Genomic DNA, 22,255 nt, shown 5'->3' with positions numbered 1-22,255 from the left:
TAAATTCTCAGCAACAGGGTTTTTGCCCACTGCTTTTTGGAGAGAGAGAGAGAGCAGTTAACTCCCCAGAACACCCTGATTCAATATTTACCTGACGACTTTGGCATCTTGACATTTTCCCCAGTGCATTTCCTTCTTTATCAGGTATTATTTTACATGAGATTTCTTGTTATACAGAAGTAACATAAATCAATCTATAACAGAAGAATTTGTTTAACACATTTATTCTTTAATAAGTTGCGTGATCATATTTCATTGACTTGTACAATAGAAAAAGAAAACCTTACTACTAAAACAGGGTTTGTGGAGACTGGCACATGGTAAACCTATTTAGTCTTTTCAGAGGTTCATTCTTAGATTTTAATGTTAAATAACAACTATTCATTTAAGCTGGTCTCACTGAATATCTTGACCTTTAGCAATTCCACACACAGCAGCTTATTGTGGTATCCTTTAAATATGAGAAATAAGAATGTTTAACTTTGCTATTAAAAGAAAAATAAAAGAGTACTGTATGTTACATGGCCCATGAAATATTGGCGGTGTGCTCCTTGGCTTTCATTCGAAGAACTGCGATACTGGAAGACCTCCTTTCAAACTCTGGCTTTGTTTCAAATGCATGTCCATTGGTTGCCCCAGTAAGAAGAGAGTCAGTGAAAAAATTGTTGAGGGGCACGTGGCTGAACTGGTTCTGGTGGTTTGAAAACCCCGTGTAACTGGAATCTGTCCGAGGCGAGTGAGAATAAGGTGTCATACAGGAGGAAGTGTCACGTGGTAACATGCATGAAGTAACCACAGAACCACCACTTGCATTTCCTGCCCACAAATTGTTCTGAATCTGGAATATATAAAACAACAAATATTACATTTACATGTTCTCACTTTTGTTCTCTTACTTTTGTTAAGTTGTATTTACTAAATTTGGTTAACTATTCATTGTTTGCTCCTATTGGGTGGTCTGTAATTACATACAACAATGACTAAAAAATAATTACTTGAGAGATCCTTCTAGTTTGTTATACTGAAATAGAGCAACAAATCTCACATTCTTGGCCACATAACGTACTCTCAAACATGTCTATCTCCTATAAAAAAGTATTATTTTCATAGTCATGATTTTAAAAATGAATCTGGAAGATTGAGTCATGACCAATTCATACGATTAGAAAAGTAGTTTAAAATCTGGTTTTAAGTTTAAAGATAGTTTTTGTCTTTCTAAACAAAATGACACAAATGCATTTTTAAAAAAAATTCTAACTGGGACTCCTGGTGTGGCAGTTTTCGTTGGAAACCATTGCTGACAATAGACTGTTCTGCAAAGATATTTTTGATCAAACTTATTCTGGAACATGTTTGCCCTCCTATTGCTTTTTCGTATCCTATAGTCTTGAAGAAACAGCTCTGAGAATCTGGGAAATTACAAAATATGTAAATATACATATTTTAAAAATTTATTCTGTGATTTATGTATGATATAATGAATTTGAAACAGACATGTGACATGTAAAACAAAGTTAGAATTTTAAAACATGGGCCTTTACCAAATAATGGAATCATAGCTGAGAAAGATGTGCAACTATTTAGCAAAAACATCAGATGAGTATAATGCAGTTACTCTTGTGTTATATAGTACTCCTATAGAGTAGAAACTGCTTTATCATTCACACCCGAGATATTCACACTTCGTATTATTAAATCTCCACAGGAAACAATTCAATGCAATATTAACAAGTACAAATTTATCTAAAGTTACTAGCATGTAAAAGAAACATGATATAGACCTTATGTAACATGAATTTTAAGTAGGACATATCTCAATCTTAATATACAAGCTATTTAAACAAACAAAAGCAGGAACCCCATACGTTACTGGGAAGCTCAGAGAAAATCATGACAAATGGCAGGAGCTGGGGAAGGTAAAAAAAGAAAATGTTGCATGGGATAGTAATACTATGATGCAGCCCTTTGAAGATGAAATAAAACTGAATGCTTTTAGCAACATTATTATAATACATTTGGACTAGAACATAGCAGCAATACACATGTTAATCACATCAGGTTTCCTTATCTTTTAAAATCATGATGTAAGAGTAGAATCATCAATGAGTAGGACACATATGTCTTCCTATATTTGTTTCTACATAAAGATTCCAGGCACCTACATATAAGGTCTGGTGTAGTCTTACAATACCCATGCTTGAGTTGTACTTTCTATGGCAACTAATTTTCAAATAAGAGCAAAAAATATGTTAATAAATCTTCTAGATCACACTGGTAAAAAGGTACTCTGTCACTCAAGAAAGGACTGATTAACCAGGTTCAAAACGTAAGAGAAAAACCTTAATAAGTAATTTCAACCTTTAGGTGGGGTTTCAGTGATTGGCAAGGTGCTTACATATCTGGGTTGTCTTAAAAAATAATTCTTTATATAAATATATGTATAAGCTGCTTTAAAGTTGTTAAATATATACATATGTAGAAAGAGACAAAGAGAGAAATCTACATATCCATATCTAAACATATATATTTTATATATATATATGATTTGCATATTTTGTTAATCCTTAAATTGTCTCAGGCTATGTTCTAATTCTGGCTCATTCTACTATATGTGTTCCACTTTAGGCAAAACATAATGACTGGTATCAGTGATTGCTGAGTTATGTATATCAAACCAACAAGAGGGCTGCTAATGTCATTACTCTGTCAAACTACCTCTTCTAACTTCATCTGCGTGATTTTCCTCTGACATTCAATCACACACATTGTGCTACTCGGCAAAAACCATAGTCACATGTCTGATAAAAGAGCTTTCAGAAATGAAAGTGAACTTTGCTTGCTTACTTAAAAAAAAAAAAAGGAAGACAACATAATGAAAGAGAAGGATTATTTATATTTTGTTTGTTAAAGAATTGCTTGATTTATACAGTTTCTTGAATTTTTTATTAAAATCATTCATTCATATTCCAAATGCACAGAAATATGTTCACCAACTAGATGAAAAAGCTAAAATCAGAAAGGTAAAGGCAAGGGAGGTAACCTATAGATATAAATTAAGAAAATATTGCCTCCCTAACATAATTAACATAAATCTACCTATAAATTGAAAAATATTCTGTAGAGTACATAAAAAAGCAAATTTTATTTTGATCAAAACTTCTTATCTGGACATGATCAAGCACGTTATATGCATTACTTTTGATGAAATAATTTCTAACATATAGACATGTTTTTCTGGGCAGAACAGACTGGTAAAGTAAATATGATAACAATATTTTAGTTGGGCTTGTGAAGATACCCTAAATATTTTGAAGATTGTCATTTATTCCCATAGGTAGAGATATCCTCACACATTTTTACTGATCTATCTTGTTTTCAAAATATCTATTTCTTCCCCCTCCCCAGCACCACTGCTGATCTTTCCTTTTTTAAATTTCCAGCAAATCTTTATTTGACTTTAGAAACATTGTTGGTTTCCACATTGTAAATTTATTTAGATGCAACTCATAAAAGATAATATCCTCGGTATATTGTGATTTTACTTCTCTGAAGCCTGCCCTCTGGGTGTTTAAACATTTGATGATGATGCTCAAGACCATGTTCATTATAGCTAATGGTTACCAATTAATTACCATGCGTGAGGCATTATGTTAAATATATTATGAACACTTTTAATTGTTTCAGTACACTAAACAGCGTGTTCTTTTGCTATCCCCCTTTTGAGGATGGTAACACTATAGAACAGAGCTGAAGAAGATCACCCAAGATTGCATAGTTCCAATGGTGGAGGTCAAATCTCAACCTAGGAAACCTTAGAAATGCTGTAATAATGACTAGTTTTATGAGTTGAAATTATTTATTTACTCATTATCCCTACTTTGTGTAGGTTCATAGTCTCTACTCTCTGAAAGAAAAACCCACAATTATTTCTCACAACTGTTTTGTCATCCTCAGGTCTAATGTGGTACAAGGTAAGTCCTTAATACAAAGTTATTAAGTGCTTGAAAAATATGGACTGATCCATCTTGCAGATATAATCAAAATTTTATGGATGATTTATGTTAATATATCAAAATTTTTGTTTCATAATATGAACTCCCAAATCACCATACTCAATAATCTTAACAGTGATCATGAAAATTACATTCCTAGACCTTGCTAACTGCATTTACCTGGGAAGTTCTTTATTTTTATTATTAAACACTGATTCTCCACAACAGATACATATCCTTGGAGACTCTGATTCATTTAGTATGGCTCAGGGGCTCTGTATTAAAATAATAGTAATAAAATACACACATGGAATTCTGAAAATCAATTGAAATTAGGAAACACTACTGGAGTCCAACTTCCTTCCAAATGAAAAATTCTTTGTACACCAATTTTGTTTACCTCTTGTGATAAGAAGCTCACCTGTTTAAAAAAAAATTCCATTTCTTTTCTATAAAAGTAAGCTGTTATATTCCTCTACCTCTACCTATGGCTTCCATTTATGTGCCCTATAATGACGTAGAATAAGATCATCTTTCTTACATGTAAAAATCTTAAAATGTAATCGGGCATGATGATACAACCCCCAAATCCTTTTTCTCCAGGTAAACATCTCCAGTGCTTTTAACCATTCCTCATATGACTTGGTTTCTAGACACTGTATCATTCAGATCATGTTATTCTGGATATGTCTGAGCTTATCAATACCGTTTACCCTTACCAATACATAGCATTTACACCAGAATATCATACACTGCATATCATCTGATTGCTGTAGGAAAAAGCTGGCAGATAAAATCTTTGTTCTAGGCCATCTAGATCTGATTAAACAACAACATTATTTGAGCTAAGGGTTGACTATAGTGCTATCAAGCTGGACTCACACTGTTCCTCCATCCCTACACCAATATATTCTCATATAGGCAGTAATTTTTAAACTATGCCCTGGAAAGTATAAATCCATGTGCATATTATCTAAAAGTGCCTATTACTTTTTTGTCAACTGGGAAGCCCATCAAAATCGCACTCTGATTCGTTAAAGGAAAAATTATATTGGTGGTTCAATTTTGGAAGTAAAAAAATATTAATTTTCTTCCTAAATAGGATAACTACTCTTATTTTGAACTATTTCATAGATACTGCAATGACAATACCTGGCACCATATAATTTTACGGTGTTTTCGTAGGCCTCTGTTTAATATTCAAGGGCTTTACAACCAGAAACAAATAATTCCCATACCCTTCTTGTATGTGTGTTTTTTAAAAAGAAAGAGAAAAAGATTGACTGCCTTTATTTTTTTTTCTTTGTTGTGTTTAAAAGGAGTGGAGAATCTAAAAACATTTCATGTTTTAACGTTCTCTGAAACTTTTTTTTTAAATATTAGGGGTGTGTTCAAAGCACTGTCCAGGGAACTCTGTCCAGGGAACTTAGCCAACTACCTCCCATTAGCATGAATGGAAGTACAGCGGATTTACTGCACTTCACTTTGAACGTTTGCCCCTTCATGTTTTTCTAACCAAATAAATGTTAACACTTAATTATCCCATGACTTTGGAATTTTAGAGAAAAGTTTTATTTTTGTCTTATTTATTCCAAACTGAAACCTAATTCATTTAATACTCATTTTTTTCCAAGGAATTAAAAGCAGTAGAGAGGAAGGAGAAGGGAAAATACATAAATATATATTAACATAAACATAAATACTAAGAGTTTTTTACTGTGGATATATATTTGTAATAAATTCAAGTACTACAGTAAGTTATGGGTAGAAAATTATTTATTTTTTACCTTAGAACCTTGATATGAATATATTCTTTGTAATCACAACTACAAAGTGGATTTTGTTGTTCTAACCCTGGTTTACATTTCTAATATATTTACTGATTTTATATAGTGAGTACTTTTTAATATATTTTTCTAAAAAAGCCTTTTAAAAGAATAGTGAGTTTGTTAGTTTTTTACTTAATTGTAAAATAGCACGGTGTAACAAAAAAATAGTTTCATGATAGCATTTTATAGTCAATATCCTAATATTAGTGCTATTTAGAAGAAACAACACTATCAAATTTCATAGAAATACTAAACATGAAAATATGTAAGTAACAACCTTCCCTTAATTTTAAAGCATCTCCAAAACAACTAATTAAGTAACGTTTTTCTACTAAAATAAGTTTATTTAACTCTACTTCTCATCTATATATAGAGTGCTCCTATCTCCTGCCACCAACATCGATCATATTTACTTGCATAAACACACATACATACCCATACGTCTGCACACACACTCCATGTGCACACTCACACAATTCTCGCATCACATGCTCACACACTTTCCTGTGGGAATTAAAGGATACTTTAAAAGACAGAGATCAGAGATTTATAGAGTTACTTGTGATGATGTTATAGCAATACCTCTTTACATGAAAATCTAAAAACTGATTTGGTTTTCCTCTTTGGCATAATGTTTACATTTATTAATTTTCTGTATATCATTTAATACTATATAAATGTATTAAGACAGTATCACTATGTAATTGAATTTACTAGATTTGTACATGTTCTCTTAAAAATGAAAACACTGATTTCTGGGAAAACAGCTAAATTTTTTAAGAGACTTTTATGAAATTCACTAGTATATTCCTGTAACATTTACATGACAAAATATTAATAAGAATCATATGCTTAGCAACATGCAGATATTTTTAGCTATTGACTAACTTTAGGATCCCATTAACTTTTCTATTTACTACATCAGTAAGTTGCTGGCAGGGAGAAAGAGTATAAATGAATCTTTAAATATTGAATTTACCACCAGTAACTAACACACACTGAGACTTTGTCTACCTGAAAAAAAAAGATCCCAACTTGAATTAATTAAGCAATGAAAAGATTAATCTGAGTATTTTTTAGGTACTGCCTAAGGTAAAAGTGAGGGCACATTTTCATCAGTGTCTTCTCATTAGATCTAATTTTCACCAAAAAATATTTTAAGGTGATATATAAAATATTTAGATTTTGATAAGTCTATTGACATTTTAAACATTCTTAAAGTACTTTTCCAATATATATTATTAAACTAAAGTGATTAGAAATCATTTATTCATCAGAAACAGATCATATACTAAATACTGTCACTTTTATTTTTTAGTAAAATTCCATCTTAGATATGTATACAGAGATTTGAAACAAGAAAGGTGACTTTTCCATTAAAAAAAAAATCACCATTAAATATCACACCCATATGAGACTGATAATTTAAGAGGAAAACTGCTTAGCAGAAAAATAAATGTGTATGTCTACTTTTAGTGCAAAATTAAAAGCACGAAGCTTAATAAGAAATTTTAATGTCTGTAAATTTTCAGCATAACATCATATAAATGTGTTTACATTTTTCATTATTCAAATAATATTTGAAAAATGCTCCAAGTCCAAGATATAAGAACATAAAGAACATTTTTCTTTGGTGTTGACTGTATTCTTAAATTCTATATTAAGTGACTTTTAAAAAGAAGATTTATAGAAACTCTCACGATTGCTTTAAAATGAAAGTTTTCAAATCAACTCATTTAAGGAAGAAATAAAATGGTAACACCTAACCTTTGCTATTTTATTACTATCAAGCAATAATTATCATATGGAGGATTTTCCAGACACTTGTTGCATTATTTTTCATGTATTTTAATACATGTATGATAGCTATTGCTGATTCATCAGTGTCTGATTCATTTTAGTGATGAAATTATCCTATTGAAACAAAATTCACAATATAAGAAATAAAGATAAAAATGTAAGCTTGTAAATTAAGCTTTTATGCATAAATAGCTTAGAATATGAATAAAATACACAAATATTTTAATTTGTACAGAAAATTTTTAATTTTAGAGATCTTGCTTGGAGTCATTTATGGACTTTGAATTTATTCTTAAAATATTAAGTGAAGCTATTGATTTTACTCATCATCTCTTTGTATTAACTACAAAGTCGACATTTTATTTTTGTAATTTTAAAAATCAACTGTGAGTTTGTACGGAAGTTTACCTATTTAATGTCTATGATGCAGAATAAAAAAGAAAATCCATAGACACATGAGGCTTCATAAACATGGCATGCATATAATTCTGGATTAAAGTATATCATAAGGTTCACACTAACAATAGGGTGAACTGCAGATTTTAAACAACAGTTCTGTGCTAATAGACTTCCTGGGCTTTGATGGCTTAATTTTCTGCCTGTTATTTCTCCATCTTCTTGTGAGGTTTTTATATGTATAAGCTAACGTTGGCACTCTGCAACATTCATTTTTATTTTCTTCTTATTTATTTGGTTATCTATTCAACTTACTGATTTAGTTTCCTTGTAAAATAAAAAATACTTATTTAAAAAAATTTTGTTAACTTACTGTGTACAGTCACATTAGAATATTACATTTTCAAAAGAACAGGCCTAATTATTTTCATAATTGACAGGAGTGCACTTTGTTTCTTTTGGAGGATATTCTTTGCCTCTTTAGAGTCTTTGTATATGCAACAGAATAAAAATTAATTAAAGTTTTAATAAAAATGAAATGTTTCATTTTTATTAAAATTTTTTTCATTAAATGAATTCCATTTCATTAAAATTAAAATATTTCAACAAAATAAAAATTAAGAAAAGAATTCACTGTAGCTAACTGTACCTTCACCTAATGATACTGACAAAAATTGTCTCATGCTACACATAACTTATATATATATATACACACATACATATATAAATATTTTATTCATATTTATTTAAACTATATAAATTTAATTAAATCAGTATATTTACTCGCTGCAAAAACTATATTTTAGTAAGGTAGATTATCATTATATTTCTTCTGTCACTTAAAATATTTGTGTTTATTATCAGTGACAAATTGTGCAATATCAATATGATATTTTGAAAATGATGGTAACATTTTGGTCATAAGTCATACAAGAATTTTCACTGTATCATTGTATGACCATTCATTGGTTGTTTCATGGATGTAAAAGCACTCATCATACAATGTATTAATTACCGCTATATTAGTAATATTTTTAAAAGATTTTGGTTTGTTTACTTCAAATATTTGGGAAAAAATAGAAATTATAGTGACAAAATTATATTTTCTCCAAAGGTAAAAAATGCTACAAATGCCTTTTAATTATAAACCACAGTGGTTGAAGGAGACAAGTCCTATGTTCCTTATTTAGCTTAAGTTAAGACAACCATTAAGATTAATATAGAAACTGCCATTAAAACCAGGGTAGATAAGCAATATGTCTACAGTCTATTATATGGGAACTACTATTACATGAAAACCTTAAAATTTCATTTTTTAATTGTATAATTACAATATTTCAAATAGAATGTGTTAAACTAAAATGTTTTACAGCTTTAATCTATGTATTAAATTATAAAAATGACCACAAATTACCTATAACTTGAATCTACCTCTTGGCGTGTTCAAATTCTAAGTGGCATATATTTATGAAGTCCTCAATAATACAACGGAAGACAAGACACTGTGTGGATTCCTTGGTACATTTGGTAAGCATAGATTTAGAGATAGTTTTCACTATACAATACTCAGTGAAACCTCATTCAAAATTTTGGTGGGAAAAGCACTTCAATTCTTTTTCTGAAATTTGTGATGAAAATATTTACAAGAAAATAATTCTGGTGAATTGAATATATACTTAAACTTTTCTAAAGTTACCGTATTTGGTTTTCAATTTAAAAAGGAAAGTATGTTTAACTGAAATTAATATTTCCCTAGATCCCTACATAGTAAATTTACTCAGAGATTGGATTAATTAAAACGCTACAACATAAGATAACAAGCAATTTAGCTACCTGGAGAGGCAGGTACTTTAGAACAAAATTAATAATGACTAATGGAAATGATAGAATTCCTACTACTTATTAAGTTCTGTTTTGTACTAGGCAATGCCCTAAGTAATTTGCATAAACAAGTTTGTTTAACATTCACAAGCATCGTATGAGCTTTTACCCCCATTTTATAAATGAAAAGAACTGTTCCTCATGGTAAATTCATTTGCCAAAGGTCTAAAAGCTATTAAACTGAAAAGCCAAAACTTGAACCCACACCTCTCTGACTGGAAAGCTCATAGTCATTAATGTTAACCCCTGGCCCTCTTCAAATCCCAGGATTCACCTCTGTAGTCTATAAACAGAGGGCTTTCCTTTTCGGAAATCCATTTAGTCTTCACAATAACAGAAAAACCATCATCGTCTTGATCATCTACACTATCAACACCACAAACACCAGCACCAACAATACTTCCATTTTACAAATAAAGAATCTGAAGATCAAGTCAAAGTTGTAACTCAAAGTTATCTATCTAGATAATAATGTCAATGCTCATGTAATCCAAACCTAAGAACATGAAATTGTAAAGTTCCTTGTAAGAAATGAATGGTAATTATAATTCTCAAGGAAATACTTATACCTTAAGATAAATTATTTTATTCACTAAAATAATTATTTTTAAAATTCTTTGGTTTTGCCATATTAGAAACAAGTTAAAATGTAATATCACTAGATCTTTGCTCACTTTTTAAATTTAAGGCCAAAATTATTTAGATTTATGGTTTCTTGGGCCTAGTTTGCACCAAGAAGTGTTTGCAAATTTAGTACAAATATTACCCAGTTTTTAGTCTTTCTACAAAGCAGGGAATTTTGTCTAGATCAGTTATATATTCCTGATCCCTGCAACAGTGCATGGCATATATTTGTTTTGAAAGGCAAATAACTTTGGAATAAAAGTCAGCTGAAAAGTGTCTGCAAAATCTTTCTAGCCTATTTTTTTGAACAGAGGAAGAAATTGAGGAAAAGTTAATTGCTTATATCACAAAACTGGTTAATAACAAATTCAGAATCTGTTTTATTGAAAATTGATTATTTTTGTTTTATGATACACTACTTAATATATTAATATATTGAAGTGAACCTGTACTATTACTCATATCTATCCAATGTCTATATAATTTGCTCAATTCATAGCAGACCATCCTTGGTGATACAAAGGTGACTAGTAACTGGGTCATCTTTTAAATATTTTACATTGTAAATGGGAAGTCAGACCTTTAATACAACCCAACAAAATGTCAGTGAGAAAGTGATGTGCAGACAGATGGCACATCCCAGAGGCTTCATGGAGTAAATATGGCTTAGGTGAGGGAGGGAAATTCAAGACAGAGGAAACAAATTCATCCCAAGCAATGAGAATGCTTTCAAAAACGTTAACTCTTGAGGAAAAATAAATAGATTAATTTAGTTAAATCACAGCATTGCCAAATGGCAACTGATATCTTGAGCCAAAATAAAGAACTTAAACAAAAAGATACTGTTGTCAGTACATCAAAATATACTACCTTAAAATATTTAAATATGAACATCACGTCTCTCACTTTCTTATTTGTTTGCTATCAAAGATAAGTAAGTTTAAGAAAAAAATCTTGAAACAGTCAATGAGGTGTTTAGGCTTTTTAAATGTTTATAAATTTAAAACCAGAAGCATTTTTACCTTCCAAAAAGGATGTGATATTTTAGGATCCAATTTGAATAATTTCACTCTTCAGTGATGAATTAAAGAGATAATGTTACATAAAGATCTTTGGGCTCCTGAGCTCAGAAAACCTGAGCTTAAATTAAACAGGTTAATAGATACAAGAAGGAAGCACAGTGTCTGGCTTTAAATATGCCCCCAATTATTAGTAATTATTTTTACTGTTACAGCTGTTGCTACTATAGTAAAAAGACGGCCAGTTGAAACAAAGTATTTATTAGAACATATTAGAAAGTATTAATTACTATATAGAAATAAACATATTATGCTTGTACATACTGAGCAGGCTTGAGGAGATCATTTTCTAAACTATCTCTGTTTTTCATGTATTTCTATGTATGGCTTTTCTTTCTGCCAAATTGCTAATTCTTTATTTCTGTCCTGCCTCTAACATTTTCTAGTTTCCAACTTTTCTGAAATTAATAATTTTTTCTGTAATTAACAGTCACCAAATCCAATGTCTTATTAGACTGAGATATTGGATTCTACTTCTGTTTCTATTTCTCCCATTACAAGTTCCTATTTTCAAGCCCCATGATAAAAAAAACATTTCATTTAGGCTAACTCTTGAGAGACATGATCTTGGCCCAATTATTTTTTCAAACAAACTAAAAAAGTATCTTGTATATATTTAAGTTAAAATAAAAATTCCCCCGGCTTTATCCAGTATCTACAGTGGGGAGTTGCAGCCACATAATTTCGGAAATTTTGGTAACCAAACATTAAATGATTTACCAATACAAGAAAGTACTATGGACTTCATGGTATTAATTTTTATTATTATTCATGATTGGCACTGTTGAAGTAATTCCAACATATGTTCTCCATTCTTAAATTATCAGGTGGTATAGCCAATGTATACAAAATTATGAGGAATAATTAGTGCAACATTCCCATGATTTGTGGGGGGAAATTTTTTAAATTAATTTTTCATTGGAGTGAAAAAGATGATCAAATATATAATTTGGTGTACCATGTCCGTTCCTCCATCGGTGTCTAGGTTACCTCATTCTTTTAATTAATAATATATAAAGCTTTGAGGTACAATAACACAATGGTAAGATAATCTTAGGGAAATGAGATGGTTACTCAGAGTACACTGAGTCATATTGAGCATTTATACATGTCTTAAAGCTGTATAAAGTTTTAGATTCAGAATATGCACTATTCTGAATGCTTTACCCTTTATATAGGTCTTAATTGATGCTAGGCCCTATTCTGATTGCTTTATCAAAGAAGCAAGAAGAGTCAAATATAAAACAACCAACGTACAGGGACAGAAAAGTTGAAAACAGACAGAAATGGGGTTTGAAAGGAAATGAAGACTGAAAGAATAAAATGCACAAAAAAGTAGTCATAGTCAAGTGTTGTGGAATATACTTAGTAAGAGTTTAAAATCCATGTGAAGAGCTCATAATTTGTTACTTTATTACGTCTAAAGTCACCACAGTCAAGTAGTTCAAAATGATATAAACCATTCTCCATTTCACCTATATTTTTATTGTTATTTCTCTGGTTGTGGCTCCTGACACTAAAGCGCAGACTTACAATAATGCAGCTCAAACTTTATGCTCCTTTGGTATCATTTAAATATATTCACAGGTAGAGACAGTCTATTGTCAGGTTAAAATCTGGCAAGTGGGAACCAAATTGTCTCTGGTCAAATCTGAACTTCACCTTACCTCTTTCTCATTTGAGCAATGGAGACAATTAGTAACACCTAGCACATAAGGTTGTTGTGAGGATTAAATGAGATAATATATGTAATCTGCTTAGAACAGTGCCCAGATATACAGTGAGGGCTACTGTAGTGTTAATAACCATGAAGACACTGCAGTCCCTGTCCTCATGGAGCTTGCAGCCTAGAGGGGAAAGATTTTTACAGAATTTTGTTTAGAAACTAACGGCACTCAAACTAACTCACACTGACTCAACTAAGGCACTCAAAAATATTTGGCAAACAAAATTTGACTAGCCCTATGATGGTAAGTAACCACCAGAGGTAGCCTCATGCTTTAAAATAGGAGAAAACATAAGGTAACCTCTTTAAGATAAATTTTAAAAGAGAAACAAGATTCCTCCTATGGCAAGGAGATAGGAGGCATTTATTGAAAAGGTATCCATAAGAATAGTCTTCTAGCAAGCCATTGGGTAAAGGTTTAGACGTAGCGACCTTTACAGTCTCTCCTGCAGGAACCCACTTGTATGATCACAAACCAATTCCTTAACTCAATTGAGCCCGTTTTCATAACTTTTTTAAAGGAAGGAGTTGAACAAGGTGACCTCCAAGACTTCTTTTATTTAACATATAATATTATATTAATAAATTTGGGGGATTTATCTGGAGGAGTGAGGTTTCTAAAACTGGTTTTTAAGAATCATAAAAGGCATAGGAACACAAGGAAAGAACAACATTAAAGAACTGAATTTGTACTCATAGTGTTGAAGAAAATGAATACTCAAGTTTGGGGTTCAGATCATCTAGTTAGTGAACTATCAAGGTATTTCTCCAGCATATATGTTTCATATGTGTTTTCACATGGGTCTCTTATAATGCATATCATTAAATAATAAATAACAAAATAATGCATAGCTCGTTGCTTATAACGTAGGTTTTTTTTCATCATGTATCAAATACAGTTCTGAATATCATTATTAAGTATTAGGAAAAAGTGACACAAAATAAATTAGAAAGACAAACATTTACATTCATTACAAAATATGAAAAAGAAATATATAGTCTTATATTGAAAAAGAAAAATGAGAAGAAAAAGAATTTCTAACACTTTTTGTAATGAAGTAAAAGAGCACCCATTATAAAGGGAAGCTGTTACTCATCTGTGATTAACTTTTAAAATTATGTCTGATACTAATTCTATCTCTGTTTTAAGTCAAACAGGACCAAATGTGGACCTTTAGAGAATAAGCAATTTGAAAACTGAAAAAAAAAAAACATAGAAAAAGAGACACATTTTTAAATGGAGTTAAGGGCTTAATAGGCCACATTTGACATCAGGTTTTAGTATAGTTCATAAAACAATATCCACAGAGATTGCATGCTAAGCAACACTCTATTTACAGTATTTTTAAAAGTTAACAAAAGGAAGAGAGTCTGAGTAATTAGAATGTAGGATAATTAAAATACCTGTATCATTAAATGATGCTATTTCATTGGTGGCAATATACAACAAAATTCAAAAGAAAAAAATACCCTGAAATATTTTTAAATGAATGACTCTGTAAGAAAACAACAAGAAAATAATTCAGAAAAATTAAAACTTAGCAGACATGAAGAATGTTTTCTGAAGCTTAGATTTTCATTCTTGGCTATTATCTTACATATAATAAAGCCTATGCTAACCATTTTAAGAATATACAAACCAAATATCCTTTTCTTGATCAGTATTCTGTGTAGTTTAGCATACCTGTGGGTAGCTGTCAGTCCTTGGCAAAACTGATATATCATAGGTGGCAGCAAAATGGCTTTTCGCTTGTTGTATTTGGCCATAACGTTCCCTTTTTCTCCATTTGGCCCTTCGATTTTGAAACCAAACCTAATTATTTAATAAAAATTAGAATTTTAGCTAAGGAATATTTGATAAAGCAAATGTGATGTTAAAAGACATCAAACAAGAAAGGTAAACCAGGTTAAAAAAATTACGTAAAAAGAAATGTATTTATGTTAGAAAAGGATCCACAGATTTTACTTTTTCTTGTATCTTGATGTGGTAAGTGATTTTCCCATGAGACAAAATAATTTAATAGAAAGAGGCAGGAGACTTTCGGGAAATACATCTGATACGTCTGAGCCTCTGTTTTCTCATTTATGGAAAACAAAAAGCAATTAGATTATATGATCCTGAATACTCCATATATCTCCACATTGTCATGGATAAGTCTCCTTTAAGAGAATGCTGCAAGTCTGGAAGATGTATATGCCGTAACGTAAACTCAGTCAATCTATAAGCAAATTAATATCTGAGTCTATTAAAACTTATCTTTAAAATATATCACAAAAGTGAAAGCTCTTCTCAGTTGTGCTCATACCTACATAATCTTTTAAAATTTTAAACATAAAGATTACACCTAAATATATGGCAGCAGCAGGAACATCATGATTATCTAGAAATAGGAAAAAATGAGATTACATATTATAATAAGCATGACAAGAATTATAGGTAAAAAGGAATCATCTAAAGTTGAACTATGGTTTTAAAATACGTGAATGTGCTTATTACATACATTATGCAACTTATTTTCCCTTATGAAAATGCTCGGATATCTTTACGTAATTTCTCTAATTTAAAGCACAGGTAATGGAAATAATATAAGAAATAGGGCAGATAGAACCAAGTGTCAAGAAAGTCTATCAGTTACTGTGGCAGCTAAGGTCACTAAGCTATCTTCCACAATTTCTCTAATTACCTATTAGAAGTATTTATTATAAGAACCATCTTCCTCAGCAGGTTGGATATTCATTAATTCATACCTGTAATATTCCAATATCTTCACTTTAATATTAAAGGGAGATGCAGAAGATTATATTCAATATATATACTTGGATGTTTTTAAATGAACATTATAGGAGTAGCTTTTGGGAATCTAGTCTTCTTCACACAATTATGTTCAGAATATAAAATATTTAGGAAAAAGGCTAGAAATCAAATATAAAAAATGCAAGTTGTAAAAGCCTTTTGTTGAAGTTTACTTGAAATTTTCACTCTTTTTCATACTCAATTCTAATCTTGTATATCTTTACCTTCACCATTATGGCAACATATTAATACTCAGTTTAATTTTTTAGTACACATTACAAATTTAAGATGGCACTTTGCAGAGTTTTCAGCAATTGAAATGAGCCAGAGAGCTACATGTTCATTATAGTTTTAGTACACTGCTGATAAATGCATATTATCCATTATGCCAAGGCTCAAGACATCAACAACAACAAAAAACAAATCAAATTTTCTTGCTGTCTCCGCAGATGAGCCCCAGGAACACACTAAGGGAATTTAGTAATACGTTTTTGGGTTTTATTTTTTTTTCCATTGACAAAAAGAACTTGACAATTTCCTTAAAATGAGTAATAGTTACCACTCTTATGTGCAAAGCAGGAAAGAGAACGACCTGAGTAAATTAAGTTCAAGTTGGCTCTCTGTGCATGTTCTCAGACAAAAATTAATCAAGACTTGGTGAATGTTAAGGGGAAAAGATGCATTATGTACAGTTGGTCACTCTGTGTGCAAACATATTTGTTTATGGTTACAAGTATAACTAATTTAAATATAGACAAAGACAAAAATCTCAAACTTACACAGCGGGTGTTAATACTCGACAATTCTAAAATTCTTTGTTAGCATGAACTTTCTACATATTTACTTCCTGAACCAAGATAAAGTAACCATTTGCTTCCACAAACTCAAGTAAAAATCTGCTGCTTGTTATCCGTGTGCCACCAGATGTTGTCTCTAATGATGTAAGAGCCTTACAATTTTAAGAAGAAATACCGTTACTCGATTTAGAACAAAAATTTTCACTATTTTATTCATTCCCCCATTTTAGCAGTTTATGGGAATTGCAAAAATCAATACTTTTGTAGAGGAGTCAGAACACACACAAAGACCAAGGCCATTATCCTGAATTATTGTTGCATTTTAAACTCTTACTACTTGGAAACTAGTAAAATATAGTTTAAGAATATCAAATGTAGTCAAAATAAAGTACTCCTAAGAGGTAAAATTTTACCTGGTATGATTTTTCTTTCTCAAATTATTTTTAAAAATTAAGCATATTGGATCATCCAATTTAATAACTAGAATATATCTTATAAACATAATTGAGTATACACAAAAATTTACTTTAAAGCCATTATTTTTATTGCCTATGCAAAATTCATATGATTTATCTAGACTTTAACCATTATAATGGAATATTTACATGTTGACAACTACTAGGACTATAAAATTGTAAATGAGCACTATTTGATCTTGTTTTTAATTATCCATAGTGAAAACATTCCATGGTATACATAACAATTGGGAATTTGTGGGATTGTTTTTTTTTTTATTATGCCTCCAAATCTAGAAATTTCTAGATGTATGGGCTATTATACAAATAATTTACAAATACCTGATATATAATCTAAAAAAGAACCTTAGTGGCTAATAAAACCGAAAAAAAAAAAACAAATAAATATACCAATTACTAAATAGTCATGATTCTGCTTTTCATCCTTTAAAAACTGCTTTTGAAAATCAGAGATATATTATCATATTGTTATGTTTGAATGATTGTTAATTTTTATGTCTCTGTAATAACTTGTGTTCTTTTGTTTTACATATTGCGTGAGTTGTCAAAATTTTTGCAATTAAAAAATAATTTTAGTAGACATATATTCATATATATTACTCCGTTTCTCATCTTCAGCTAGGGAATCAGTTTGTTTCTTTGTGGCAAAATGCACTTATTCAATTATTCTAACACCATTTATTTTCCTATCCCATCCATCAAGGCCTCTTTTTGGCTCCTACCTGGACCCTGGCCTCAGTGAGCTCTGTCCTCAGAGCAAGCTGTTCTCTGACATACACATCCGGGTAATGAGTTTTCTGAAAGACTTTCTCCAGCTCCTCTAGCTGCAAACTGGTGAAGGTGGTTCGGTGCCTCCGTTTCTTACTGCTGGATACATTGCTATCACATTTATCCCCAAGTTCATCCAGCTCTCCCTTCTCTTGCATCCCTTTCACGGGAGACATTCGGAGACTGTTACAGTTGTCCATAGCTCTATTCAGTTCGGTGTGAAGGGGCTGTCCTTCTACTTTAGTGATCCCATAGTTCACTGTACCCAGAGGAGGAAAAACAACAGTTCTCAGGATTGTGAAACTCATCTCAATTAAATCAATAAGTAGAAGTAATTGAGAGTATCAAGAAATTGGCCTATTAATAATTTATTGTGCTAGTATTAATTCAATTACCACATTTCTATACTTAATTCATTGTAGGACAGGTTTAAATACCATTTTAAAATGTGTTCATGCAACTGCTATGATCTGCCAAAATCCGCAGTTCTATTTTACAGGATTTATAAGTTTATGCACATGTTTTTTACTTAAATTCATGTACTCGAATTAAAAGATGATCTGGGTGTTTCATGAAAGAAACTTTAAGTGTCCATGATTTTTGAAAACTGAAGCAAATTTAATGTCATGTGTTTTATTCACAGCAGATAAAACCAAGCTACTAATGTGGCTCAGAAAATATATTTTAATCTTAAATAATACCTCTGTACTAATATCTGAAAGTTATTATCCTCCTCCACGTAAAACGTACTGATGATAGATTTCAGATGTGACATTATTTCCACTAAATTTTGAATATTTCAACTTTATATCCATGTCTGCATTTACACTTTTTCTTCAAAAATAATCTACTAAATTGACAAAATAAATTTCATGCCAAATTTTGAATACGCTTTCTATCGGAAATTAGATTTAAGCAGCATTTTTTTTTTTTACCTAAAAACTTACGCAGTTCTTTTTAAAACATTTCATATTTCTGCTTAGCTAGTTAGATAAGTTTTGGGATTGAAAACTTTTCTATTTTCTCTGCTGAAACACAGAAATTAAAACAGCTATTAAAACATTACAGAGCATGACATCTGGCATTCTGTTAAGGGATGTTTAATTTCAGTAATTTTCTTCAGATTTGATTGCATGCTTGCAGTGTGATATAAAACAAAGATATATCATATAATGCCAAACACCCACAAATGCAATGGATGCACATAGTGAAATGGGAAGCACTTTTTAAAAAGTAAAGTCAAACCAGCCAGAATAATAATTTCCAATAGATGATCATACTTTTTTCATTTGTTTCTTTTTTTAAAATTACCCCCATAATGTATTTTTACAACTCTTTTCATCATTATACAAATATATTCAAGTTTAATGCGCATATAACTTCAATAGCTAATAATTGAGTACTGTGCATTTCAATGTCACTAACGGAGTAACTCTCAAAAATGTTCTCATAATAAAAAATGTCAAATATTTGAGGTGATGGCCAATTAACGTAATTTAATCATTCCACATTGCATTAAAAAAACTTAACATTACTTTGTACCCCATAAATATATACAACTATAATTTGTCTATATATATATATAACAAATTTTTTAAATTAACGGTTTTCATGCAAACGAAGATGTGATGTTAAACCAAATATAAAGAAGAGCCATGACTGATTAACAAACGGTTCTATCTCCTTGGGCAAAATTAAAGGGGGAACTGCAGCAATTAGGGATGGGGGAGGGGAAGCATCAGAGAGGCTAAGGGCATCTCAAGAGAAAGACAGGATCTCTCCTAAATTAAGCGGATGACTGCCTATGTTCATCTTCCTTAACACTTCTTTGTTATAATTCATCTTAATAGTGTGATATTTGTTTAAAAGTTGATAACGCATCAATTATGTCTCTTATTTTGGATTCTCGACTATTCAAAATAAAATATTATGATCAAGTCCATCCAGAGTCAATACAAGACATTGCAGAATCATTAAAGAAAGACCTGTCAATTCAAATAACGTTAGGCATGCACCTAAGAATTCCACAAATACAGATACCAGGTCTGAAACGCAGCCAGAAAACCAACAACTCAGTGTAAGAATAACAAAAAGTATACGCTCGAATCTTTCTAAATAAATGACTGAAACGACTTAGCTGATTATTTTCTCTATCATTTGCACCTTTATTTTTGATTTACCCTTAGTCAAAAGTTACTTGCAACGTTAAATAAAATTAGTTAAATATGAGATTAATAAAAGAAAAAAACTTGTGTTCAAAATATTTAGAAAATGAGCTTCTACAGGCCAGTGTTTTGTCAGATTTTGAATTTCTATAAAATAGGGGGCAGGGGGCTTGTTGTAAATATTTCACACTTAATTCGTTTGTTATTTTAAAGCAACCCGCCCCTTATAGCTTAACTGTGGAATATATACAATGATAAGGAGAAGTTCTCTTGGAATTGTAAACGTGCTTTAGCTGTCGCGATCTGAAATAATAGGTTAGTATTAGGTTACAAGATAGAAAAGATAGATGGTTTGTTTTGATAACATTTTGACTTGGAGATACTTGGGCATTCAAAGTTGAAGATTTCACCCAGAAGCATTCCAAAGACTCCTTAGGTGACTTTTAATGTGAAGTCATAAAAATACAAAACGTAGAATCTGGGAATGAGTGATTAGGCCGGGGATGGTTTGCCCGAAGCTATTTAGTGTGCTTTAGTGTTTAACAAACATTCAACGCGTGTTGTATTGCAAACGCAAAAAAAAGCAGAAATTACAAATTCACACACGCTAGAAATCTAGGGATCCTCAAACTTTGAAAATATATCGCCACGTCTTGGAAAATTAAAAAGATTTATCTTTACCTAAAGGAGCTCAAAGGGTTTTTTGTTTTTTGTTTTTGTTTTCCGGTTTTTTTTTCCCTACTCGTGACGACAGTGACGTACTCTAACGAGCTGTGATCGATTTCAGTTCCTACCGCCCGGACTGCAAGGCGGGCTCGCAGAGGAAGCGTTCTGTCTTGACTCAATTACGCTCTATTTAGCGCCCTATCAGTTTACTCCAGGAACCAATATTACAGAAGGACTCAGGGATCCGTAGGCGACCAGACCCTACAGCGAAAGGAGAATCGCTCAGAGGCAACCCGGTGCTGGATCTCTCCCTCCCTCCGCCCTCCGCCCCCAAAGGCTGCAGCAGCAGTAACACCGCTTCATAAAGCGAGCACCTTCCACTACCTTCCTCCACCTTCCAGGTCCCTCGCTCCCACTTTTCTCCTTTCTCCCTCCCTGCCTGATCAGACCGATCCTGCATTTTCGATTGCGGAAGGGCTGCGGCGGCTCCGGCTGGGGCGCTAGCGACTCACCGCTGCTGTCCTGACAGGGCGAGGTCCTCTCCAAGCGCACGTGATGCTCGGCGCGGGGCAGGGGTCCGAAGGCCTGCACGCATTTGCCTGCAGACGCTTTGCTGTAAAAGGACTCATTGTCCAGCGTCTCCATAACGTGCTCCAGAGGACCTCCTGCGCCCATGTAAAAGTCACTGTTTTTACTCGGAGGGCTCTTGAGGGCAAACTTCTCGCTCAGAAACTCCATAATCCTGGAAGACTGTCGCGTAGCTCCTGGGGCACAGAAACTGGAGAGCGCTGGGGGAGGGAGCCAGTGGGTGGGAGGAGGGAGGGCCAGAGAGGAGGGAAGGGAAAGCGAGCGCTGCGGCGTCGGGAACTGCCCCGCTCCGGTCCCTTTAATACGTCCCGGCTGGAAAAGGAGCACCCGAAGTTGCTTTTATATCTTGAAACTCAGCTGGCCTCCTCGGGCAGCCTCCCAGTTCTAATGAATATGAAAATAGGCGGGCGACTAACTCCACCCCAGGTCCCCCTCCGCCCCTACCCCACCCCCATTTTCCCCACTTACCCGGGCAGAGGGCGTCCAGGCCTAGGATAGACAGACAGACAGCTCCATTTCAGACAAATGCCAGGAGAGACGAGCCCCTGACACCCAGATTCATTGCCGCCGTGACAGTGGACTGGCATTTCGGAAGATCTTGGTGAGATCGCAAAGCAGTTAAACCTCCACTCCCTACTGCCTGCGCCTTCCTGAGCCACCCGTCCCCACCCCGC

At 32.3% G+C, this 22,255-nt stretch overlaps 1 protein-coding gene across 1 annotated transcript, besides 1 other annotated feature; it reads right to left on the bottom strand.

The window, feature by feature from the left end:
• On the bottom strand, nucleotides 209–21,773 carry ALX1 (ALX homeobox 1). The gene is made up of 4 exons (NM_006982.3): nucleotides 21,506–21,773; nucleotides 18,117–18,421; nucleotides 15,012–15,140; nucleotides 209–838 (listed from the first exon to the last, which is right to left on the bottom strand). Exons 1-4 carry the CDS (start codon nucleotides 21,729–21,731, stop codon nucleotides 518–520), a joined length of 981 nt encoding a protein of 326 aa, NP_008913.2. The 5' UTR covers nucleotides 21,732–21,773; the 3' UTR covers nucleotides 209–517.
• Nucleotides 21,388–21,682: a silencer, noted in NCBI's record as "tiled region #79; HepG2 Repressive non-DNase unmatched - State 4:PromP, and K562 Repressive non-DNase unmatched - State 24:Quies". NCBI's record gives its function as "represses a minimal TATA promoter and a strong SV40 promoter by Sharpr-MPRA in HepG2 and K562 cells {active_cell/tissue: HepG2 | K562}" and the evidence as "EXISTENCE:reporter gene assay evidence [ECO:0000049][PMID:27701403]".

This window comes from Homo sapiens, chromosome 12 (genome assembly GCF_000001405.40).
Source record: "Homo sapiens chromosome 12, GRCh38.p14 Primary Assembly".
NCBI lineage: Eukaryota > Metazoa > Chordata > Mammalia > Primates > Hominidae > Homo > Homo sapiens.
Note: the sequence above shows the minus strand (reverse complement) of the source record. Positions and strands in the feature narration are given on the sequence as shown.

Coding starts and splice junctions, on each gene's coding strand:
- ALX1 (NM_006982.3), bottom strand. CDS start 21,731: ATGGAGTTTCTGAGCGAGAAGTTTGCCCTCAAGAGCCCTCCGAGTAAA. Junction 18,422..21,505: donor GCCCTGTCAGGACAGCAGCG/GTGAGTCGCTAG, acceptor CTCTGGGTACAG/TGAACTATGGGATCACTAAA. Junction 15,141..18,116: donor TCACTGAGGCCAGGGTCCAG/GTAGGAGCCAAA, acceptor TTAAATAATTAG/GTTTGGTTTCAAAATCGAAG.